The 25,716-nt window shown below is 39.3% G+C and overlaps 1 long non-coding RNA gene across 1 annotated transcript in view; it reads left to right on the top strand.

Moving 5' to 3' along the window:
- Positions 1–25,716, top strand: part of LOC105372085 (uncharacterized) — a 34,754-nt gene that overhangs the window by 6,978 nt on the left and 2,060 nt on the right. Inside the window, exons 2-4 of the long non-coding RNA XR_935411.2 lie at positions 215–354; positions 715–876; positions 4,845–4,935. This is a non-coding gene — a long non-coding RNA (uncharacterized LOC105372085). The remainder of the gene's footprint in view (positions 1–214; positions 355–714; positions 877–4,844; positions 4,936–25,716) is intronic.

Genomic DNA, 25,716 nt, shown 5'->3' with positions numbered 1-25,716 from the left:
CCCATGGGCCTGCCTTAGTTTATCAACTCTGTGCTGCTACTATTGTTGTTTGCATTTGTTGGAATAGCCTCCTTACTCCTCAGTCTGGTTCAAAACACATCTCTTGCTGGAAGGAACACAATTAGTAAATGATAAGCTCAGGTTACAAAGTAGGTCTGTCTAAGCTCTAATGAAATATTCTTTCTCTCTCTTGTTACTTCCCATGTGGCCTCAGGCAATAATGCAACTGCAAGATAAATGACCATTAATCTGGAGAAAAGTCTCTTGAAGTAAGTCTCAGGGCTCCATAAAGGACCTTGTCCAGCTACTTATTGAAGACTTGTGTGAGGACAGTGAAAGAACGCTGATCAAATTGTAAGTAGCACAAAGCTATGCTGTATATCTAATATGTCAGAGGTCAGAATCAAGGCTCAAAAAGGTCTTTAGATGCTGGAGTAATGGCCCAAATCCAATAAAAACAAAATTTACTGGGAATAATGTTAGGTCTTGAACTTCAGACTGAAAACTCAATTGGGGGGAGATGTAGCTTAATAGTAGATCTGTGAATAAAAATCTCAGGCGGTGGGGGCGGGTGGTTCTTAACTGACTATAAACTTGATATGAATCCATAGTAATAGGATTGTTCAAAAACAGACATCAGTTTTGGGTTACATTCATGGATGTTTTGCATCCAAGATGAGAGTAGTGATCAGTCTCGTTCTTTGTGCTTCTTAGGCAATACCTGAAGTTTTACATTCTATTTTGGGAGCTACACTTGAAGACGGACAGAAATGTATGAGGACATGCTCATCATGGGACAAAAACATTTGGAATCATTCATTCACTTATTTACTTACTCATTCAGTAGATCTTTACTGGGTGCCCATCATGCTCCAGGTACTTCCCTTGCCACCCAAGGCACAATTAGTGAACAAGGCAGACAAATAAGGAAACTCAGGAAATTTAGCCTGTAGAAGATAAAACTTGGAAAATATGTGCTTTCTATTTTCCAATATTTGAATGGCATAGCATCCTTCTGTGTGATCATAGAGCTAGTGCTAATGTATGTACATTAATATAGAGTAGTGTCTGGGCCATGACTTTCCACCAATTAAAAGTATCCAAGGATGGAACGGGCTTTTGCAACTAGGGTGCACAGCATCAATGGATTGACTTCTTACAGTCCATTGGAGGGAGTCAAATATAGTAAAATCCTGTGATAATGAGCCCCGTGATAATAGGGATTCTCATATAACATACTTGACAACTGGCTCCTTTATCCATTCCCTTATTCAAAAGGAGCTGGCTAAATTTATTATATTCTCAGGAGTGGGGGGAATGGAGGAGCTCACTGGAATATGAGCAGGGGAGTGAGGTTAAGTAGGGAAATAGTAGGCCGCTGCATCTGGGGAAGCAGGTCTGTATTCTCCTGGCCCAATCTCTCCTGACCAGGCCTATGAAGCAGGTGCTGCCTAATTAAACAATTCTTGGAATTGCTACAGCAATCTTAGAAGTCCCAGCCAGCCCTAAAGCCCTGATGGGCCCCATCAATATTAATCTGAAACAGATAACCACCATCAGGTGGCACTAAACCATAACTGGGATCTGGATAGATCCAGATTGAACCAGCAAATGAAATGCCACACTTGTCATTTCATCAATTTTACAATGATGCACCTAGGCATTTTATGTGATTGAAATTTTTGAAACCACTTTTCAAATTACGGAAGGATTTTACTGTACCAAAAGGATTGCTGGACTACTTTACCATTGAGCTTCCAGCCAGCTCTCTGCTTATCTAGCTATAACTATCCTAATTCTGTCCTGATGGGCTCATCCATCATGGCCCCACTACAAATGTTATGTTGTCTAGTCTGACTTCTCTAGTCAGAAATAACTTTTCTTTCCATGTACTTCTTATGGATTTTTTTCATATTTATCCTCAAACAGTTATTAAATTGCATTATAATTCCCTAGCCCAAATACATTCCTCAGTAAATATTTGGCAAGCACCTGCTCTCAGGTAAGCACAAGAAGTAATTGCACCTGATCTTAAGGGATTTTTAGGAGAACTGGGCAGATCAGTTCAGACCAGCACAGGCCCTCTCACACAGCACTGAATGGGGGGATTCTGTCGAGTGCTGAATGGTGCAGCACTGAGAGGTGCATAGCTTAGAGATGAGAGAAGTCTGTGGGAACCAAGAAGAAAGGAAGACTCCCAGGGAAGCCAGGACGCCTTGCTCTTCAAGTTACTCTACTGAGGGACTTCTGGGTTTTTCACAGCATTCTTTTTTTACTTGATCTAATTTCTACCAGGTTAATGCTGTGCCGAACTGGTATTAGATGAGAATATATGTATATATGTTTATATATATGTATATAATTTAAAAAAATATTTCAGGTTATGGGCTCTTTTTTTTAGGGTTTATGTCATAAAATCATCAAGTGTTACATCTTAGCAACAATAGCGCCATTAAAAATAAAAATTCACCTGCAGTCTAAAAGTATTATTATCTTGATAGCTAGAGAAAAGTGCCAGAAAATCATTGTCAATATAATTGCCTTTAAACACAGAAATTTAAAACGGGATCATTTCCCCAAGCACTGTTTACTTTTTCTTTCTTTCTTTTTTAAATTCAGGGTGTTGGCTTTACCTTTGTGTGTTAACTCATTAACTATGTGCTTCCAAGTCAGCCATTTTATCTGAGTCTCAGAGTTATCATATATTAAAATACCTCCCTAAATTTCAGAGGTGTCAACAAGATCATCTATAACACTTAATATAAAATTAATGCTTAATGTAAAATTACAGAATAAGTGCCTGTATGGATATTTTCTATGCCAGGCATATGCTGCCTCAGTTTCCCATATTCTCCGTGCTTATTTCCTTGGTCCCTGCCTGCCATTGACTTTGCTTGATGAAGTTTAATTGCTGTTTTCCAAGATCAATTGCCGTTGGCAAATCTCTCCAAATACCTCATGTTTTTTCCATCAATAAATAAGGGATTAAAATTATTTTATTTAGTGCAGAGCAGTCTATTGGTCTTTAGGAAGGTTTTAGATGATCTAAAGAAGACTCAGTTCTTGCCTTCTAAAAGTCAACAGTCTTAAGGATGTATTAACCAAGACACAAATTTTCCATAAATACATATATGTTCCATCCACTTAGAACTTATTCTAGCAAGGCACAAAAGGAGAGGTTGTGGGAGCCCCTGGCTCTTCTTGGAGTCAAGGAGTTAAGAGGATTCCCTAAATACCTTGACTCTTCTCAAGAACGGCTTTAGATTTGCTATCTATGCATTCATATCAATCACTTTTGAGCTACTTTAAAATTTCTAGCTGGTATTCCAACTTGAAATTCAAGTATTTATTGTATTTTACTATACTACATGCTTCACATGTGTTAATTCATTTTTATCGCTGTAACAACCTTGAAAGGAATGATACTCTGATAACCTCCATTTTACAGATGATCACATTGAGGCTTTTTGAAAGGTTTATTGCCTTAGGGCACACTTAGAGTAAGTGAAAGAGCTGAGATTTTAATTCAGGTATTCTGATTGCAGAATTAGTCTGCATGACAACAATGCTAAACTGCCTTAATAACAACTTCATTCATTTTAAAATTGCTTCTTTCAATTTTTAAATGTCTTTCCACTCCCTCTCCCAATTCTGACATACTGCAATGTCATACATACTTCCCCTCACACCACTGCAAACCTTTTGTGAAAAAAGGTTTGAGGTGCGATGGAAACACATTGGTTTAAGAATGAGAAGGCCCTCTAATTTTGGCTCCACCAACATGTCTGGATAAACATGGGAATCTCACTTCTCTGATTCTGTTTTCACCTCTGAAAAATAGTGATAAATTATGTCTTCTGTGTGGGTTGAGAAAGTAATGACATACATGAAACTATATGGTAAACTGTAATGAGCAAAACTCATATTAGATATAATGAAAATATTATTGATTTCAATCATATCTTGTTAGTCTTTGCACTTTCTTTGGATCTTTGTAGATAGAGAGGAACTACCTTTTTCTTAAAAATCTTAGATAATGTTTTCTGGATCTTTCTAAACAACATGAATTTTGGAAGTAGACATTCTAAGAGACTGGTATGCTCTACTTAGTTTTTCATTTTCTATCTTAGAAATGCTCTTCTTTTTCACTCCTCCAGAAGATTCGGAGAAGGGGGAATAAGTTCCTAGATACTGCACAGTCATATTTGTATAGCAAGGAAAGATGAGGTCATTTGGGTTGCCTTATAAATGGTAGTTGAGTGCTGCACAAGCAGTGCTGGAAGCCGGAATTAATTGGCTCTTAAGAGATGAGGCTGAGGCAGGAGAATGGTGTGAACCCGGGAGGCGGAGCTTGCAGTGAGCCGAGATCGCGCCACTGCACTCCAGCCTGGGCAACAAATCGAGACTCCGTCTCAAAAAAAAAAAAAAAAGAGATGCAGTTCAGTTATCATCCAACAAAACCATTTCTCCTTTCTAAATGTATGTATGTTATGGTGCTAAGCAGCAACGAGAGAACAAATCTAGGGAGAGTTCCAAAAAGTGTTCTGCTTGAACAATGTAGACTCCTGTCACCATCCAGACCTTCAGGAGTACTTTTGTGTGGGGAATAACTGGATCTACCAGAAAAGGTAGAACTCACAGCTTAGCTCTAGGGCTGAAATTCTCAAGCAATCAATGGGTAAAATGGACATTCCTATAATGGGGAGTTGGGGGTTCACCTGAGGGGAAATGATGAGGTGTGCTGTGCTGACTTTGTCTGGGCCAGAATGATGATTCAATTTGGTCCCCAAGGATGATTTTTAACATTGCACGATTTGACACTTGCATATCTTGCTCTCTTCAAGACTCTTGGTCCTGCAGCATGCTCTACTCGCTGTGCGTGGGACCTGTGAGATAATCAGTGAAGAGAGACGGAAGGATATGAAAATGAGAGAGGTAGGTATGGTTTTTCAATCTTTTACTTGACAGGGGTTCTGAATTAGACATTTTATGGATACATTTTCTTCAGATTAATGAGGTCTAGAAAACTTGGGCTTAACATACTTGACTTCTCTGTTTTACAGGAAAGGCAGACCTAGATCATATGATAGTGTCAACCTAAAAGGGAGAAGCTGAGGCAAAATTAGTATACTCACGGCAATTTGAATCCATGCTCCCTCAGTCAATTCTTAAGCTTGGCCCAGATAAATTCTCTACTTACATTAATGTGGCCTCAGCTTCTCCTCTTTAGGTCAACTATGCATATAACAGTGTTTTTACAATCCTTACTTGATACACCTCACCATCATGCATATATATTTTTACTGTAATCTCCCAATGGGTTCTTCTTGCCCCCTGCACAGAGACAGCCAATTCACTGAGACTGCAATATTGTTGTGAAGAAAGAGTTTAACTAACGAGAAGCTAGCCATGTGGAAGAAAAGGAGTTTATTACTCAAATTGGCCTTCCTGAAAATTTGAAGGCTGGGATTTCTAAGGATAATTTTGTGGACAAGGGGCTAGGGAATGAGTGCTGCTGATTGGATGAGGATGAAATCATAGGAGTATGGAAAGCAGTCCTTATTCACTGAGTCAGCCTCTGGGTAGGGGCCACAGGAATGGTTGAGTCATGGATCCTGGGTACAGGCGGAATCAGTTGGTCACCAGAAATGCAAAAGTCCGAAAAATATTTCAAAAGACCAATCTTAGGTTCTGCAATATTGATGTTATTGTAGAACTTAAGGAATAATTGAGGAAGTTACAAATTTTGTGACCTCTGGAGCAATGCCTGGTTATTGTTTAATTACACCGACATCTTAGCAGAATTCTGGCCCCTTTCATACTCCTAATCTTGTGGCCTCTCATTAGTTTACAAATGTGGTTTCAGTCTCCAAACAAGGAGGAGGTGCATTTGTGAAGGGCTATCAACCTTGCTTTAAGGTTTAAACTACAAACTAAATTCCTCCCAAAGTAAGGTTGGTCTATGCCCTGGAATTAACAAGGACAGTTTAGAGATTAGAAGCAAGATGGAGATAGCTATGACAGATTTCTCTTACTGTCATAATTTTGCAATGATGGTTTCATTACTACCTATAGAATAGTCTTGGGAAAGTATTAGAAACATTGCTTATGAGAATGAATCACTGTAAGTGAAAATTATGAAGTGGAAAGTTATTTAGATTACTCAGACTATAATATCAATGTATCATAAAGTATAAATTTCCCTGTAAACTGCTGAATATGATGACAGAGGAGGACATCAGCAAAAATGTTGAGTAAATTAAGGGCTAAAGTAGTGCCCAGAGATAACTCAACCATATTACTACTTAAGAACTATCAATCAAGGCAGAGGGTCACCTTATTAATATGAATAGGGAAGTCTCCCACAGACTGATAGGGAGAAAAAGCCCCCACTCTCTGTCATATTCAGATAGGTGATACAACTTGACCCAATATTCCGTTTTTCTTCTAATTACTTCTTATAATATACCCAATTGAAAGGAGGGGCATTTAGAAGAAACCTATTGAAGATGGAGCAGCTTCCACTTCAAATTTTGAGGGGAGCACTTCTACTGCTTGATTAAATGCCCAAGAGCCCAGTGACCTTTCCTGTTACCCAGAGCAAGAAGAGAATGCTTCTTCATAAACAGAAAGGAGACAAGAGCTGGTGAAAGGGCTTTACACAACTATACTACCCTTCTCCTTGAAATCTTACTCTATTTTTCTTTTCTTTTTAACGTTTAACTTCTTTTGGAGGGTGGGATGGAGAACAAACCTTAATTATATTTATAAAGCAAAACCTTATTTTGAGCTTTGAAATTCAAATCTAAGTTAAGGGGCACACTCTAAGTCCTGTGCTATAGAAACACAGAGGTAGGCTGGGCACGGTGGCTCATGCCTGTAATTCCAGCATTTTGGGAGGCTGAGGTGGGTGATCAATTGAGGTCAGGAGTTGGAGATCAGCCTGACCAACATGGTGAAATATGTCTCTACTAAAAATACAAAAATCAGCCAGGTGTCATGGCGGGCACCTATAATCCCAGCTGCTCGTGAGGGTGAGGCATGAGGCATGAGAATCACTTGAACCCAGGAGGCAGAGGTTGCAGAAAAAAAAAAAAAAGGAAACAGAGAGGTAGCTTGGAAAGTTGAGATGGGGATAAGGGATCAGAAAAGCCTTTTTAGAGTAGATGATACTAGTGTAGAGTCCAGAAGGATGAGCTCCATGTGTACTGATATCACATTGGTGGCTTAAAATGAGCTATCATGGGTGTATTTACACCATGGAAATAAACGAACACTACAAACCAGGCCTTGATTTATTATTTTGTTGATTGCTGAGACTCCAGAATTGGTAGAAAAATGCTAATAATGCAGAATAACCCAAAAAGTGTATTTTCTCTGTAGTCATTACATTACGAAAATAACAATATTTGAGGAAATAATCCTTAAATATTAAAAACTATTATCTGATTGAGCAAAGAAGTCCCTCATGTTATTGACCAATGAGCAAAGGCCAGCATTTCCATTGTTTTACTTTCACCTTACTCATTAATATTTAGTGAATTATTTCCCCTAGAGAACCAGTTGTTAAACATTTACCAGCACATCACTGCTCTAAGACTATCATTCACCAAGAAAGACACTATAGAGAACACAAAGACTGGGGACAGGGTGGGGAATGTTGATTAGTTGGTTATGTACATATGTCAGTAGGCAGTAACAAATGTGACTCTTGAAAAGATGTGAGAAAAAGTTTAATACAGAAGGTAGAAAGGGCTAGGAAGTTCAGTGTATAAGACAGTCATAGTTAACTGACATAATTGGGGCAAAGTTGATGGATTAGGGAATATTTTCCTTGAGCTATACAGAAAAAGGTAGCTCTTTTTCTTTTTCTTTTATCTTTTTTGTGTGTGTTTTTCAGTCTTTTTACTTTTTATTTATTTTTATTTCATTACTTTTGGGGAAACAGGTGGTGTTTGGTTGCATAGAAAATTTTTAGTGGTGCATTTCCGAGGTTTTGGTGCACCCATTACCTGAGTAGTGTACACTGTACTCAATGTGTAGTCTTTTATCCTTTACCCTCTTTCCATCCTTCCCCCGTAAGTCCCCAGAGTCCATTATATCATTCTTATGCTGTTGCATCCTCATAGCTTAGCTCCCACTTATAAGCGAGAACACATGGTGTTTAGTTTTCCATTCCTGAGTTACTTCACTTGGAATAATGGTTTTCAGCTCTATCCGGGTTGCTGTGATTGCCATTATTTTGTTCCTTTTTATGGCTGAGGAAAAGGTAGCCTTTTGATAAGTAGAGATGGTAGGCACAGACTCTTCAGGGCAAGAGAACAATGATACAAAGGCATTTGGGTGGAAGGGTGTGGGTGATTTTAGGACATAGTTAGGAATCAAATTTGCCTAGGAATTAGGTTGTATATTATAAGAAGTAAGTCATAGGAGATTTCATTAGAAAGACAGAATAGAATTATATTGGAGAGGACATTGACAGCCAAAATGAGAAGCCTATTGAAGAAATATGAGATGAGAGAAATTATAAGTAAAGGGTTTTTCTTAATATAATGTTGATGGAACATGCCAGTTTCAAATAATCTTCAATAGATTTCTAAATTTATAATTTAAGGGCTGGAAAGAACATTACTCATTCAACCCTGTTCTCTAATTTTTACATGAAAAAATAAAAATATAGACAGGCCTTTAAAGGTACATCCAAATTTAGAACCGCAGTCCCCCACGTGAGAATACCAGGCTGCTCCTCCAGCTGAAGTTTGTAAGTTTCTCAACTCAGGATTTTCTGGCCTTTATGTTGACTGTTTACATGGGATGCTGGCAATCTTATTGGAATCCAGCACAGTGGCTGGAACATAGTAGAAGCTCAATAAATATATAAGCTGAGAGTATGCATGAATATTCTGGAAAAGAGTGATGACTCATTTCATATACATTGGAGGGGCAGGGAAACAAAAAACCAAACTCTTAGACAAGTGACAAGAGAAAGTCAAAAGCTCATTCCTCTAGCTTGATAACTGATTAAAAGTGAAATAAGCACAAGAAAAAAAATCACAGAGGGAATAAATGATCATGCCAGTATTAGGAATGGTGGTTTGGAAATCTGGAAAAAGCCGTATATACATACATACATACCTGGCCTGGTACAAACTTAATGTTGGCTGAACGAGATTGCTATATTGGACAGGCCTGTGAGGTGGTAAGGAATGTTCATATAAGCATTGAGGTCTGTCACGTGGCAGGTCCTGACTCCTCACAGTAACAGAGAGACTATTAAATAAACCCAGTGCACACAAGACTCAGAAGCTGGCTCAATTACACACTAGAGGCCTCTTTGTGAATTTAGTTCAGAGTGAGCATAGAAATGGTGATTACTGAAATGCCCTGTAAAGGGTTTCCCAAATTGAGATTTGAATTTGCCCATAGATTACTAGGAAAGATTTGGTAGAATTACTTGTCTTGGAATTAGAATGTAATAGGACTAGAAATAGGGATCACGCAGAGGTGATATTCTTCTAGTTATCAATGGGAGTTTTCCAGATTGCTAGGACAAGCATGCAAATAGAAGATGTATTAGGCCATTCTTGCATTGCTATAAAAAAATACCCAAGACTGGGTAATTTACAGAGAAAAGTGGTTTGATTGGCTCATGGTTCTGTAGGCTGTACAGGAACCATGGCACCAGCATCTGCTCAGCTTCTGGGGAGGTCTCAGGAAGCTTCCAATAATGGCAGATGGCAAAAGGGGAGCAGACGTCTCACATGGCAAAAGCAAGAGAGTGTTGGGGGGTGCTACACACTTAAACAACCAGATTTTGCAAGAAAACACTCACTATTGCAAGGACAGCACCAAGCCATGAGGGATCTGCCCCCGCGATGCAAACACCTCCCGCCAGTCCCCACCTCCAATATGGGGACTATAATTCAACATGAGGTTTGGGCAGGGACAAGTATTCAAACTACCTCAGAGGACAGAGCTCCATTTGAGGGACTTTTCCAGCAGTCATGCCCCATCTTCATGTCTTTGTTCACATTGTATTCCTCTCCTTATCACTTACCTCCACATACACAAATAATCTTTGTCCTAAAACGCAGCCCCATTGTTATTTATTATCATGATTTCTCCGTAGGCAGAAATTTCTTTCTATTCCTTGAACTTCCACAACACAATAGTTAACTCTCTTACAGTATTTAAATAGCACTTACATTTTATTAAAATATATTTTGATATTTTCTTGTTGATATTTAAATAAAAAATTTCAGATTTACAGAGAATTGAAAATATAGTACAAATTATTCTCATATAACATTCATACAGCTTTCCCAAATGTTAAATCTTGCATAAACATAGTACAATTAGCAAAACTACAAAGTTAACATCCTATTAGCTTTTAATGCCTATTGTTTTTATATTAGGCTTCCCCCAGGGTGGCTGGGTTTTCAAGTCTTTCAATACTTTCTGTCCAGGACTGAAGATAGTTCCCTAGTTTCTTCCCTGCCTCTAGGTCCTCTTCCAGTGTTGTGTTCTTTTGTGTTCCTCCACATCAGCTGTGGTTACATGTGCCAGAGCAGAGACCAGACATTGTAATATAGACTGTGATGCTTTGACTGGGAGACCCACACTACAGGTGCTATAATCTTGGTGTCCTGTCTTGAAGTCCAGTGTTTTGTTTACTGCATACTCAATTTTTTTTTTTTTTTGAGTCAAGCTTTCACTCTGTGGCCCAGGCTGGAGTGCAGCAGCATGATCTCAGCTCACTGCAACCTCAGACTCTTGGGCTCAAATGATCATCCCACCTCAGCCTTCACAGTAACTGGGTCTACAGGCGTGCACCACTATATCCAGATAATTTTTTGTATTTTTTATTAGAGACGGGTTTTTGCCATGTTGCCCAGGCTGGTCTGGAACCCCTGGGCTCAAGTGATTAGCTCGCCTCGGCCTCCCAAAGTGCTGGGATTATAGGCATGAGCCACTGCACTCGGCCCTTACTCAATTTAGATAAAATATTACATATAGAAGAAAATAATAACTGAGGATAAAAAGTGAGTCTTAGTAGTTACTCTTGTACCATTTTATCCACTGTGGAAATGGACTGGAGTGGGTAACATCAGGAAAAGTAAGCTGAAAAATAGGTTGGGTACTCTTTCTTCCCATCTCCTAGAATGCTATTATTTTGCATCAGGTGCATCATGGGTAGGTATTGTGAGGTCGAGTCAGAAGCCAAGACCAAGAGTTAAGATTATGTTTCTTTTCTGTTTTTATGAATATTTATCGCATGTCTCCTGTGCCGGATACTGTGGGATGTTAGTGATACAATGGTTAGTAAAAAGAGAAGTGGTTTCTGTCTTCATGGAGTTTATCATCCACTAGAAAAGATGTGGGAAAAAGCCTTTACAATATGTACTATTCTAAATACAGTATATATATGTTCACTCATTTAATCTCATATATATATGTTAACTCATTTAACAACCCTGTGAGGTAGTAACCCCATTTTATGAAAGAGATACAGAGTGGTTAAGTAACTTGGCCAGTAGCAGAACTGGGATTTGAACTTGGCAGTTTGGCTCCAGGCTTTGTGCTATTAACCATTTTACCACACTGCCTCTTGTGCAAATTTGACTTGAAGGAAAGGGTACAGCATGAAAGAAGAACATACAATAAACTTGCTTTCCATGGGAAAATAGGTTGCAGACCGAATGATCTTAGGGCTGAGAAGGTGTTTAGTAGGGAAGTGGGGGTTTGTGGGTGGGGCATGGGGGAACAGGACAGGAAGAGAAGATTTTTGTGAACAAAGATAACAATGTGTGTAAAGGCCTTGAGTAAAGAATAAACAAGGTAAGTTTGGGTAAATAAAAGAGGTCCTAGGAGTGCTGGAGATCACATTATGAGGAGAATAAGACGAAGCTGGAGATGGCTACCATACAGGGATTTTCAAGTCATGATCAAGATTTTTTTATTTTATCCTGTGAACAATTAGAAACTATCCAAGGCAAACATTCCTAAGCTTTCTTGGTTCATAGCACCCCTAGGCCAACAGAAATAGCTAAAATTTCCATTAATTAAAAAGTTAGCTAAATATTTATGATCTAACAATTTAAATGTTCTTTGAAAAAATATTATACGTAAATGGACAGAAACCAGTATTTTTTATTTCATTCTTAAATAACTACAATTTCTTACTAATTATACATGTTTGAGTGTTAGGCACTGCGCAGTTTCTCAAACCTTGGAATCAGATTGGATACCTCCACCTTTATGTTTTGTTCCACAGTGATTATTTTGTGGAATTGCCTTTCTTATCACAGCAGTCACTGAAAGCCCAAGCTTCACACAAAAAAAAAAATATTGAAAGAAATGTAGTGCAATCTAATGTTGAAACTGTGCAGTGTCTGACTGATGTGGAGTATTATTGTTTTCCTCAAAAATTAAAAATATTCCAGAGAACTCCTATGAGTCTAAATGGAGTCTCAGGGCACCTTAGTGTACATTTTGAGAACTGTTATTGAAGTAGGAGATTCATATGAACACGGCGTGTTTTGTTTTTATTGTTTTTGTTATTTATTTATTAATTATTAACTAATTTATTTAGAGATGGAGTCTCCCTCTGTCTCGCAGGCTGGAGTACAGTGGCGCAATCTCGGCTCACTGCAACCTCCGCCTCCCGGGTTCAAGTGATTTTCCTGCCTCAGCCTCCTGAGTACTTGGGATTACAGGCATCATGCCATGACGCCCAGCCAATTTTTGTATTTTTTAGTAGAGATAGGGTTTCACCACTTGGCTAGGCTGGTCTCGAACTCCTGACCCCAAGTGATCCACATGCCTCGGCCTCCCAAAGTGCTAGGTTTATAGGTGTGAGCCACCATGCCCAGCCAGACACTGGCTGTACTGTTTTCCAGAGGCTATACTGGCCTATGGATTGGACAGAAGCAAAAATGGAATTGGGGGAGACAAATTCAGAAGCTGCTGCATTAGAGAAGGCAAAATAATTGTGGCTTATAGTGACTAGAGATGAAAACGTATGGGTGAAATTGAGTAATATTATGTAAGAGAAAAGCCATCAAAACACAAGGTTGGGAGCCAGAGTAAGGACAGGGAAAATAAAAAATAGGGGCCCAAAATTATTTATTTAGGATATACTACTTTTGAAGTATAGTATTATGTTGGTAATGATCTCTTCTTGGTTCAGGTGCAGGTATTCATTCCTTAGCACTCTGACATTTCACACAAATAATTTGCTAATCCTTTGTGTTTAAAATTGTCTGTAATTCTTGGTTTCCCCAGACCCCTGCTATGGGGTAAATCAGGACTCATGTGATATGTAGAGAGGACTCTGGGTCCTGTCCAATCCCATGGTGGCTGCATGTGTGATGCTCTGTACTAGAGGAATGAGACACATTTTCTTCTTGTCTTTCTTTCTTTTTTTTTTTTTGTCTCCAGACTCACAAGCAACTCAGTTAAGGCTGTAGACAAGGCCAGAGAGTCTGAAGGTGGCAGAGCCTCTACTCTTGACTGGCCCCATGTTGTTGAACCTCAAATCTGAGTTGGTACTGCCTTTCTGCTCCCTGGCTGAGTTGTTGCCAAAATATCTCAGCCTCAGTTCACAGGGGCCACAGATGGCTATCTGGTCCACTGACAGTTGCCACTTTGTCTTTGAGTGTGGCAGTTTTTCAGCCAGCAGTGCTCAATTTGTACTCTAATTCCAGCCCTTTTGATGCTTAAAAGTTGACTTTGCTCTTCAGGGTAACTGCGCCTTCTATCAAGTCTCCTCAGAAGGAAGGGAATCTCTTTTTGTGTCCTTGGGTAATGCAGAGGTGTCCTTTCAATAATTCTGACTGACCCAGGCCCCAGGCAGGGCCATGCTCTGTGAGGGCTAGGGCCAGGTGGCAGCTTTCCTGGGCATTCATGCCTGTGGTTAGGAACATTCTCTTCTCTTTTGTGAAAATGCCATAGTCCTGAGGTCCAATGACCTAATTATGAGCCCCAAATTCCCCTCATGCCTCTTAGGGCCTGTTGCAGTGTCTCATGAGTCCCAATGGGTCAATGGTGATTATGCTGTTCCGTCCTGAAAGTTTAAGGAAAAGTACAAGTTCATTTTGCCTCTTCTAGAATACAGATTTTCCAAGCCTTGTGCCAAATACACTCCCCAGTGTACCTATTTCTCTGTTTATTCATGCTTAGGGACTTATTTTCTTTGGAGATTTGAGGCTAGAAGTTGGAACATCACAAGCACAACTATCTTCTGGATAAATTGAACGAAACAATTAGAGATTGATAGTGCTTATCCCCAAATGCCAAATCACCCTGAATGAGATAGGCTTCTAAATTTATCTTAAATCCACAGTGCTAACATGAACTGGATCGATACCCTAATTTATGGGAGGATGTTAGCGTGAGGAAGTCTCACAACAGACACACACATACATATGACAACTTTCCTGTAAAGGTACAGCTGTGTGTGTATGATATCTTGTCTTTTCAACATCAGTGTAGGGACAGTAATCTAATTGTGTGGTGTGGCTTTGCAAAAGTCCACTTGTGGTCAAACATTGCCCTTTTGAGAGAACATTGGCTCTGAAACATAAGAAATTTGAAATGGTATTCGCAGGATGAAAGCAACCAACAGATCAGCATTTGTGAGGTGCAGGCAAGATGACTTCAAGCTGCAAAGCTGGGCCTTGACAGACGGATTTAGCACCATTAGCAGTGGCCTGTTGAAAAACAAAAATGACTTCAAAACTCTTTCCTCTGAACCAGAATGTTACATTCATCCCTTCGTTAAAACATCCGTTATTTGCTGACTTGTTTTCTGTCGCCCCCCCAGCCCCCAGCCTCTCACTCTTTTGTGTCGGAGCTAATGTTCCCAGCGTCTACACTGCGTAGGCCCTGATTATTTGCGAGACAGAGTGAGTTAATGCAGATTTGCAAGCTGTTCCCATTTGTGAAATGTCAGAAAAACACATGCAAGTCACTGGCTTTAGCACTTCGCTGCCAGCTGGCTCTTCTGGAGGCAGGGGACAAATGACAGTCTATCACGCAGCATGCTTTCAAAGAAAGAGGGGACCTACTCCAGAACCACAGCATCAGAGCGGCTTTTAACAACATAAGCAAAATAAGAAGCCAACATCAGTTTTTTTCTTCCCTTATTTCTCCCCCTGTTGTTGAATGAATGGCAGCACAACATTTGGGAGCTTTTTAAAGCCTTGGGAATATCGATTCCACTGCCCACCATCTGAGAGAGTGATGGGATAATGGGAGCTTGCCAGGAATGCTGCACACTCTCTGGTGAGTGACGACAGAGATACTCTTCGAGCCTTGGAGGAGAGGGTGCACCGCTCCCCACCTCTGTCCTTCAGGTAGTTTTAGTTCCCACCTTCCCACTGCCAACCTCTCTGCAGGTGTCTGGATTAAGTCGGGATTTCTGCTTCCCCTCCCTATTGGAATAATGCTGCAGTCCTTGTCTGGGCCCTAGAATCTCCCATTAGAATTTCCCATTCGAAGCCCCTCAGCACACCCGCTTAAGAAGGTAAAAACACATGGGAAGAAAACAATACATGAACTTCCCTTTGATTCATTCATGCATTCATCCATCAGTTATTTACTAAGTATCTAGTGTACGTCAGGTACTATGGGGGCTGAAAAGAAGTAGGAGATATAAATTGTTCTTGCACACAAGGCTCTAACAGAGTTGGTGATAGAAAAATAATCACAACTGGAAGTACAAGTGGGTACAAATGGTGACAGAGGAGAATAAAAAAAAAGTTGTAATTCTCTCACGTCAGAGGAAGACTTCATGAAATGAGTGGATAATGGGCTGAGCTTGGAAGGACATGAAAGATTTTAATAGCCGGAAAGGAACAAAGAGGGCATCTGACTTTGGAATGATGCAGAAAGAGGGGCGCGAGGCTGAAAAGATGGCAACAGGTATTGGTGGTGACCATACCAGCCTGATTAGGACAGAAAATTAGATAGGGGAGTTGTGGAGAAAACAAGAAACTTGGTTGAAGCCAAGTTAAGGAATATAGCCTTTCAATGGAAGTTTGGAATCAGAGAGTGCCATTTTCAGAATGGGGTCACAGATTGTTTTTATCCACTTACCTGTGTAAGATCCCATTCAATGCTCAGGTATACGGATACGATTTGGATATTTGTCCCCACCAAATCTCATGTTGAAATGTAGTCTCCAATGTTGGAGGTGGAGCCTGGTAGGATTATGGGAGAGGAACTCTCATGAATGGCTTAGCACCTTCCCTTTAGTGCTGTCTTTGAGAAAATGAGTGAGTTATCATGAGATGTGGTTGTTTAAAAGTGTGTGGCATCCTCCCTCCCTCTCTCTCTTGCTCCCACCCTCTCCATGTGATGTATCTGCTCTCACTTCACCTTCTGCCATGAGTAAAAGCTACTTGAGGCCTCCCCAGAAACTGAGCAGATGCTGGTGCCATGCTTCCTGTAAAGCCTACAGAACTGTGAGCCAATTAAATGTCTTTTCTTTATCTATAACCCAGTCTCAAGTGTTCCTTTATAACAATACAAGAATGGCCTAACATATATACCTAAATGATGTATGCACCCAGCTCAACCAGGTTTTCTCCGTGGCAAGCCCAAAGAGGGTATATTACAGAGAACAACTGCATGGTTAAACTGGGACTCTGTTTCTAACAAAGTTCTTAATGCAAACCTGGCTTCCTGCTAAAGTTGCCCTTGTGCTAACAGAGAGGCTTGTCTTCTGATATTTTGTAAGCATTTTTTAAATTCCCTATTGTTGCTTCCAGATCTTACTCTTCCATTATTATGAAAAAATCCCTCTTATTTTAGGTTTTGCAACTGGTGGCTACTCCTCACCACCCTTTTTTATTTAGGATTATGATTACTGCCTTCCCATTTTAATCTCTCTAAGGTCCTAGGTGACCTCAGTATTCACATTGACAGCCTAAGTAAGAAGTGGCAAAAACATGCCATATGTTTCTACTCTTACTACCTCAGTGCAGATATCACTCATCGATGATGACACTCTTTTCCATTAAGCCTAGATGGATTCTTAGAATCCTTGTCAACACAGCACTTCATGAGACAAAATATATTTGACCTTCCTGTACCTGTACCAGCCTTAAAACTTAAAGTAATATTTGTTCTTCTAATTCAAGCTTATAATTTCAAGATCACACTCTGTTTTTTTGGTGTGTTTCTTTTAATCAACTAACATCTGAAACTGGCTCTGTGGCCTTTGACCCTTCTTCTATCTTTCTTAGCATAGTGGACTTCCAGATTCTCTCATTTTATTCCAGGCTGCTATTTAGCATCGTTTCACCTTATTTGTTAGCCTACTTATCTCCATGGTTCTCATCTCTGTCAGGTAAGGTCTAGTCTCTGCCTCCACAAATCTCTGCTCTCCAGCGAAGAACCACTTTCATTTCCACAAAACCCCAGCCCCAAATCTAGCCCTCTTATAGCAGATGATCTAAAGTTTTACTTTCTGAGAAATTTATGCCTTTATGCAGTCTATTCTCCTTTCCTGGGGAACAGATGAAGAATCTCTCCAGAGCCTCTTACGATCCATCCCCCTGACCTCTCCCCTATGACATTGTCATTTTCAGCCTTTCTCCTCATTTTTGACTTCTTCCTCTTTATTGGTTGTTTTTCTTTATTCTATCAATATGTTTAAGCCTCTTCTATCTTAAAAAACAAAAAAATCCTCAAAACAACCTCTCTGCACTCCACACCTCTCTGTAGAAATGGTCTTTTCTTTCTCTCTTTGGAGAAGAGCCAAACTTCTTGAGCTTACACACTCAGGCTCCAATTCACTGCCTTCCGCTTTCCATCCCCACTCTACACTTCCACTCTCCTGGCAGAGAGTATGAAGGGTATCTGCAACTCAATCTAGCATACCTTTTAGACCTTATCTTACATGATCTCTGAGAAGTGTTTAACCTTATTGAATATGCCTGAGGAAAAATGGCCAGATTTTATCAATGTCCTTATAAAGCTTCACTGATGTTAATGAGCTTGAGCAGTTATAGTCTTGAGTGACTTGCAAAATATATTTCCATGTGAAGGTAAGCTTAGTTCATTATAACTTTTTAAAAAGCCTACTTTTGGGGCTGGCTTTGAGATGTGATATTAATTACTCCCTAGAAGATGGTGTTCATCACATAGTATATGCTCGATAAATATTGACTGACTAAATAAATGAAGTCAGCAGAGAATCTAAGTAATGCTCAATTCATTGGACTCCTGCTTCATCTTCTCAACTCTGGTGGTTTCCAGAGACTATGAATATTAAGTGTGGGGTGGTGAGTGTGGAACCTGGCACCACTAAAAGAAAGAACATGTAACCCAGGCTGATGGTTTCTGGAACTGCAGCTGACTATTGGTGGACAAGTAGAAATCAATCAGTCAAAAGGGGTTATGAGGGCATTCAGAAGAGGAAAAATATTATGGGCAGAAGGTATGGCTCATGTGGTACCACTGGACTTATATATTGCAAATATCAGATTCCATTCTTAACTTTTTCTTCCTTCTCAATCTTTGCAGGTTTTTCTTCATCTACATGGTTTTTAAACATCATGGTAATAAACACAGTAACATTGATGGAATACTTATTCTATGACTTGCATGCGTTATTCAATTTAATCATCATAACATTAATCTGTTGAACAAATACTAAGCATCTATCACATATCTGCCATTGGTTTTGATTCTATGATACAGAAAAGGAAAGCTGCAGTCCCTGTTCAGCAAGCTCATAGTCTAGAACTCAGGCACACAAGGACGTATGTCATTGTGATTCAGATAATTTGATGCCTAGAACATACTAGGTACTTAATGTTTGTCAATTAAATAATTAACGTTCAACTATTTAGAAGTTATAAGACTGGCTTCCTTTCCTCATCTTAATCTCTACCCTCACTGAATGCTCATTTCTCTCTGGCTATGAGATATTTATGTATAAACTCCAAATAAATAGAGGAAAATGACATAGAGGCTTTACTTAACATTTTTCTCTTAGTCAGTCATAGTCGAATTTTTGCCCTTCCTTAACTAGCATTTACAAGGTGGCTCAAATGATTCGATTTTTGTGGTATTTTCACAAATTGTTGCTAACATACAGAAAATGCTCCACTTCCATGAGGTGTCTCACTAAATAAAAGCTACAGGTAATTTAGCAGTTCTTATAGAACTGAAAGGAGCACAGTTTGACCAGGAGTTACTGGAAAGGGAGACATCCAAACAAAACAATATAAATGGCCTTGGTGATCTCAGATGGTTGGCATCCTCTATCTCTACCTATACCTAGATATTTACATATCTAAATTCATACCGCTATCCAAATCCACATTTAAATATATCTAAATATATTCCTGATAATATTGCTTACAAAATTTGTCTTCATAAATTACTGCAAACTCCTTACCACTAATCCCCAAAAATCAGTGTTATTAGACAATTCCCTTGACATTTGATATATGTTTTCCATCCTGTACATGAGTACAAAAGAACTTTTCAGATACAGCTCAAAAAAGCACTGCAAGATTTTCGCTTCTGTATCATGCATGCAAAAGCACACTTGGCCAAGACAAAGTTAGGGTATGGGATGTAAGAAGTAGACAAACAAAAGCTCAGGATGGTGTGAGGGAGAAAAAAGAGTATCTAATTCAGTAATTTCTCATTGATAAGAGACCAGGAAAGGAGAAAAATAGCGATCTATACATACAGTCGATTCTACTGGTCTTCCTAACAGGATTATGTCATCATGAAAAATGATGGGTGGATGGCCCTGGATGCTGAAGTCTGTAGATGAGTCAGGGTGCATGTGGAATGCTGGTACCCCGGTGCACCCTGACTCATCTACATAACAGGATTATGTCCTGTGCTTGTGTCCAGTCCAGGATCCTCTCTAGGTGAACAGAGAGTCTATAATGAAGCTTTTATGAGTGAAACTGATTTGTGATTGTGTGTAATGATGATGAAAATGATGTTTGTTCAGAGCTTTATTCTTATTAACAAACATTGTATCTATTTTAGATTATCAATTACATTCCACATTTATTAAGACTATTCTTATTATTCTGCCTAACTTTCTAATTCTTATCCTATATGTAGCCACCACTTCACCCAAAATTGATCGTCTCTACCCCTTGAAACTGGCTTATACTCTTATATATCATCTTACCTGGAATGCCCTCATTTTCCTTTCTATCTTCCTAAATTCTTTAAAGCATAGATCAAATTTCCATCTTTTCTGGAAAGTCTTCCCTTGAACTCCTATCCTGAATTCTCCTGACTTTCATTATCTGTATATCGCACTTGGCAGGTGTCTCTATGTATTAATTAGTTCTCTTTCAGTTATAAGTGATAGAAACCCACCTCAAACTATAAATTGTGTGGGGGAAGTCCTAGACCAGAGAAATTTAAAATGTGGATGTAGCCTCAGGGGCAGCTGATCTTAGTTGTTCAGTGATATTGTTGGGGTTTGTCATCTCTCTACCTCTCTCACCCTGGTTTCTTTCTGAGACAGGCTCTCTCTGTGTGTTGGGCAAGTTGCCACTGGCAGCCTCTGGCCCTCATTTTCCTAGTTTAGCACTTCTTGATGAGAATGAGGAATCTTCTGAGAGACCTCTAGCATAGAAGTCCTGGGGAAAACCCTAATTTGCCAAACTTAGTTCATTGATCATTTCTGCACCAATTATTGTGGCCAAGAATATGAGCTACTGGGGAGTCAGTGCCCTCTGAATCACAGAGACTGTTCCCTGCAGGAACAAAAGAATGAGAAAGGTAGGCAAACACAAATAACATTTATAATACCTAGTAGTATAAAGTTCTGATGTATTGAATGGTTTTCCCTCTATTCAAGAATGCAGAACTTTAAGGTTTGGGACTCAAATTCCTTTGTTGCTTTGACTATCCCTTACACATGTTGGTGTTCAAAAATATACTGAAATGATTTCAGAGTAATCATGTAACATATCTGCAGGTGGTTATTTTGGTTGGTTAGGATATGATTTTGTTTTGTTTTTTAAAAAGACCGAGTCTTACTCTGTCTCCCAGGCTGGAGTGCAGAGGTGCAATAATAGCTCACTGCAACCTTGAACTCCTGGGCTGAAATGATCCTCCTGCCTCAGCCTCTAGGGTAGCTAGGATTGCAGGTTTACACCACACCACACCAAATCACACACACACAAAAATTTTTTTTGAAAAAAGAAATTTATAGAGACAGGGTCTCATTATGTTGCCCAGGCTAGTCTCAATCTCCTGACCTCAAGCAATCCTCTCTCCTTAGCTTCTCAGGGTGTTGGGATTGCATGTGTGAGCCACTGCACCCAGTCAGGATAGGTTTAAAGAGACCAAACTGTTGAATATTACCCTCACAAGGGCCACCTACTTGCACATTCTTCCAGGGCCATGGGTTACTCCTCAGACCTCAGACAGCTGTCTTACAAATACAGCCATTGGTCTGGGGTCGAAGGTGGGGGTGCTAATGAGAGCCTGGAAATGGATCACTACAAATCGTATCCTTTTGTTGGAAAAGAAATTCTGTGTGCACATTCTTATGATGTATTATCTTCACCAAGAGAAGAACATGATTAATAGCAGAACATAATATATGACTCTAGGATGGCTGGGGAAAAAAAGCCAATTTTCTCTTCAGCATTTGGACCCCCTTGGAAGTGAGTTGTATTGTAAATTCAAGAGTCTTGTATAAATCTGGTAAAATTTCTATTGAAATAGATGACCTATTTAGTCTATTACATCTCTAGTTTCTACAATTCTGAGATTCCTTGGGGCGTGTGCAGAATGGAGCAATCGAAGAACAGCAAATTTCACAGTATGGTCTGCCATCTGTATAGGAACAGCAAGAAAACTGATGGGATTTCTCTCCCTGGCAGATATTTATTTCTCAAGTGCTTTTAAAACAGGAAGTCTGCAAAATTCTTCACAAGTGGTTAAAACATGAAGATTGATTTACAAATGTATATTTACGAGGAAGAACTATTTTACAATGTGTCTAAAATTTCCATTAAAAACCTAACCAAATATTTCTAGCTTCCCCCCAGACTCCTTTGCTCTACAATTTTAACAAATCAAGTAACATTTGTAAGTGCTAAATGTTAAACAGTTATTCACAGTTAATTTTTAATCAACTAACAACAGTTATGTGTTAATTGAATGCCATTAACAAACCATAACTTGATGCATCAGCTCTTTTGTTATGCAAGGAAACTTTTCCCTGAAGCTTTTATATATTGTCTGACTTCCTTCTAAATAGAACATCAATATCTATAGACTATGAATTTAACACGTGTTTCTTGACATTTAGGTGTGTGTATGTGTATGTGTGTCCCTGCACCCATGTAAAACAAATCAGAATGTACTAAAGTATTGAAAATGAAAGAGAAATCCAAATACAGTCCTGATGCAGAGTTAGATATGCAAAAGCCAAAACAGAAGCCAATTTGACATTTTGGAATTTTAATCTTAACTCTTATTTTTACTTTGAATTTCTGAACAAGTTACTTAATATTTCTTTGGCTTTTATTTTCAAGAAAACAGGGCTGGATTGATTTTGATAGGGGATATTTCTTCATCCTAGGCTGAAATAGAAAGTTAACACCATTCCTACAACTCAAAAGACTAATAAAAATTAACATATATCAGCATTCTAATATATTATTTATTTATTTTTGAGATAGGGTCTTGCTCTGTTGCCCAGGGTGGAGTGCAGTGGCATGATCTTCGCTCACTGCAGCCTCGACCTCCAAGGCTCAAGTAATCCTTCCACCTCAGCCTCCCAAGCAGCTGGGACTATAGGCATGTGCCACCATGCCCAGCTAATTTTTGTGTTTTTTGTAGAGACAGGGTTTCGCCATGTTGCTAAAGCTGGTCTCCAACTCCTGACCTCAAACAATATGTACACCTCAGTCTCCCAAAGTGCTAGGATTACAGGTGTGAGCCACTGTGCCCAGTTCTAATATATTTTTTAGATTGTAGCATAGCTTTGTGGTTAAAAGAAGATGCAACTTGGGTTACAGTGTGAGAAATTGTCACTACTCCAATAGAATGGGCTGGAGGCATACTAGGGCCTTAAGAAGAAGATCCAATGGGGGTTGAAAAAAATGGCCCCTGCAATATCAGCCATATTGTCCATGTATTCTGTTTAAGAGCTGTTCTGCAAATATAGTCATTGGCAGGTGCAGGCCAAAATGTACTGCTGAAAGGTACTAAACTATAAAGACTTTTTCTTTCTTTATTTAAAATTTGTTTGCTCACACACATATTCTGTTATGCCCTCAGACTTACTTATAAAACACAAGTTCAAAGATAACATTAATAGTAAGAAGAACATTAAACTAAGTATAAGCTCTTTCTTAGAGGAGGATCCTGTGTAATTGACTAGAAAAACTGCCTTGACTGTGGCACTGGTCTCTCCTTGGTTCTAAAGATGTATGGGAAGCAGACAGAGAATAGTATTCATTAGAAAGAATTGAGATGGGGTTAATTAAGGCAACAGGAGAAATTTACATCAAAACTAAATATATTGTTAGCTTGATTTTGTGGGATATCCTTATGATAATCTTGAAATTGCCTCAGTTATTACCAATCTTTTTTTTTTTTTTTTTTTTTACTTATCCAGAGTGGTTGTTGACTAGCCTTAAGGTCTTCTAAAACATTTCAGAGCCACAGGTAATGTCCCTGAAGCATGCATAAAGGAAAATATAATGCATTGTACATTGTATTTATGCTGTAATTAGAAGATATGTTGTTTCTATCAAAAAACATGCAATCTTATTAGTATTATGACATATGAGGGGGTTCTAACCAATCAGATGTATAGAAAAATATTCCATAGTTGTGTTTTCTGAAAGCAGTCACAGCATTTTCTGTATCTAAACATTGTTGAATTCTGACTTCTAGAAGGGTTAAGTGAGCTCCCAACCTATGCACTAACTTATCGACTACTTAAGACATAATAGGCCAGGCACAGTGGCTCATGCCTGTAATCCCAGCACTTTGGGGAGCCAAGGCAGGCGGATCACCTGAGGTCAGGAGTTCGAGACCAGCCTGGCCAATGTGGTGAAACACCATTTCTACTAAAAATACAGAAAAAATTAGTCGGGCATGGTGGCACATGCCTGTAATCTCAGCTACTCGGGAGGCTGAGGCAGAAGAAGTGCTTGAACCTGGGAGGCAGAGGTTGCAGTGAGCTGAGACTGCGCTATTGCACTCCAGCGGGGGCGACCGTCTCAAAAAAAACAAAAACCAACCAAACAAAAAAAAGGTAATAAATACATAGCGAGAATTTCTATGCTAGGAGCCAGATGCATATCACATATATACTAGGTCTTGATTTTCAATTTTAGGTAGATCTTTACTTTCCCAGAATATAAGTTCTTTTCAGGACAGACAAATTTAATTCTATGTCATGCACTGGCATTGGATGGCTTCCACCAGGTATGCTGGCCACATTTACACAATAATGATGATAATTAATATTTGTGAAGCTTTGTGTAGGATTTTTTTTTAGCTTTATCTTATTTGGCTCTCATAACCTTAATAAGTCAGTAGTAAAAATTCTCCCAGTTTATGGGTGAGAAAACAAGCTAAGGGAAGTTACATGATTTTTCCAAGTTATTCTCATGTTAAAGTATGAAGCCAGGCCTTGAATTTGGATCTAATTCACTCTACCACTTTAGAGAAATAGGCCAAGGGTTTAAGAGCACTTCAAGATTTTCTGGAATTTCTTGATGCCTAAAAGTGGAAAAAGGTCAAGATTGCCAAGGCCATGGGGCAGACCTTGTACAAGAACTACCTCCTGAGTTCTCGTCTTCTCTACTCCAGTCTGTAGGACTGCTTACAGTCCCAGAAACATATATTATATATCTTCTCTGTGTCCTTCTATAATGCACCATCCCTGATCTTCAACTATTGAGGTCTACTTCAGGTTCAGGTTTAGTGACACATTCACAATGAAGACTTTCTACAGTAGATGTAATAACCCACTCTCTCCTCATCCCAAACACATACCCTCATGGCTTAGGTTTTGCTTATACTTCCAGGCTGGACCTGATTTTCTGTCCTAGTAGGGTTATTTCTGTACATAGGCCATTTTCCCTTTCAGGCTGTGAGGGCATCATGGCTTCCTTCATACCTAATGCACACCATTGATCATATTAGGGTTCAGTGAATGCTGATTGGCCATACTTCTAAACCATAGCCATTGTATTTCTTCTGTTGCTATGTTTCTGTTAATTTTATCTCTTTACTCCTTTGCCATCTTCTTAAGAAAAGAAACACACTAAATTATCTTCTGTATCCCTTACAGAATGTAACACAGAGTAGGTGTGTGTATTAGTTTGTTTTCATGCTGCTGATAAAGACATACCCAAGACTGGGTAATTTACACAGGAAAAAGGTTTATTGGACCTACAGTTCCACATGGCTGGGGAGACCTCACAATCATGGCAGAAGGCAAGGAGGAGCAGGTCACAACTCATGTGGATGGCAGCAGGCAAAGGGAGAGCTTGTGCAGAGAAACTACCGTTTTTAAAACCATCAGATCTCATGAGACCCACTCACTATCATGGGAACAGTGCAGGAAAGACCACCTGCATGATTCAATCATCTCCCACCAGGTTCCTCCCACAGTATTTGGGAATTATGGGAGCTACAAGAGGAGATTTGGGTGAAGACACAGAGCCAAACCATATCAGTGTACAATAA

This window comes from Homo sapiens, chromosome 18, assembly GCF_000001405.40.
Source record: "Homo sapiens chromosome 18, GRCh38.p14 Primary Assembly".
NCBI lineage: Eukaryota > Metazoa > Chordata > Mammalia > Primates > Hominidae > Homo > Homo sapiens.
Note: the sequence above shows the minus strand (reverse complement) of the source record. Positions and strands in the feature narration are given on the sequence as shown.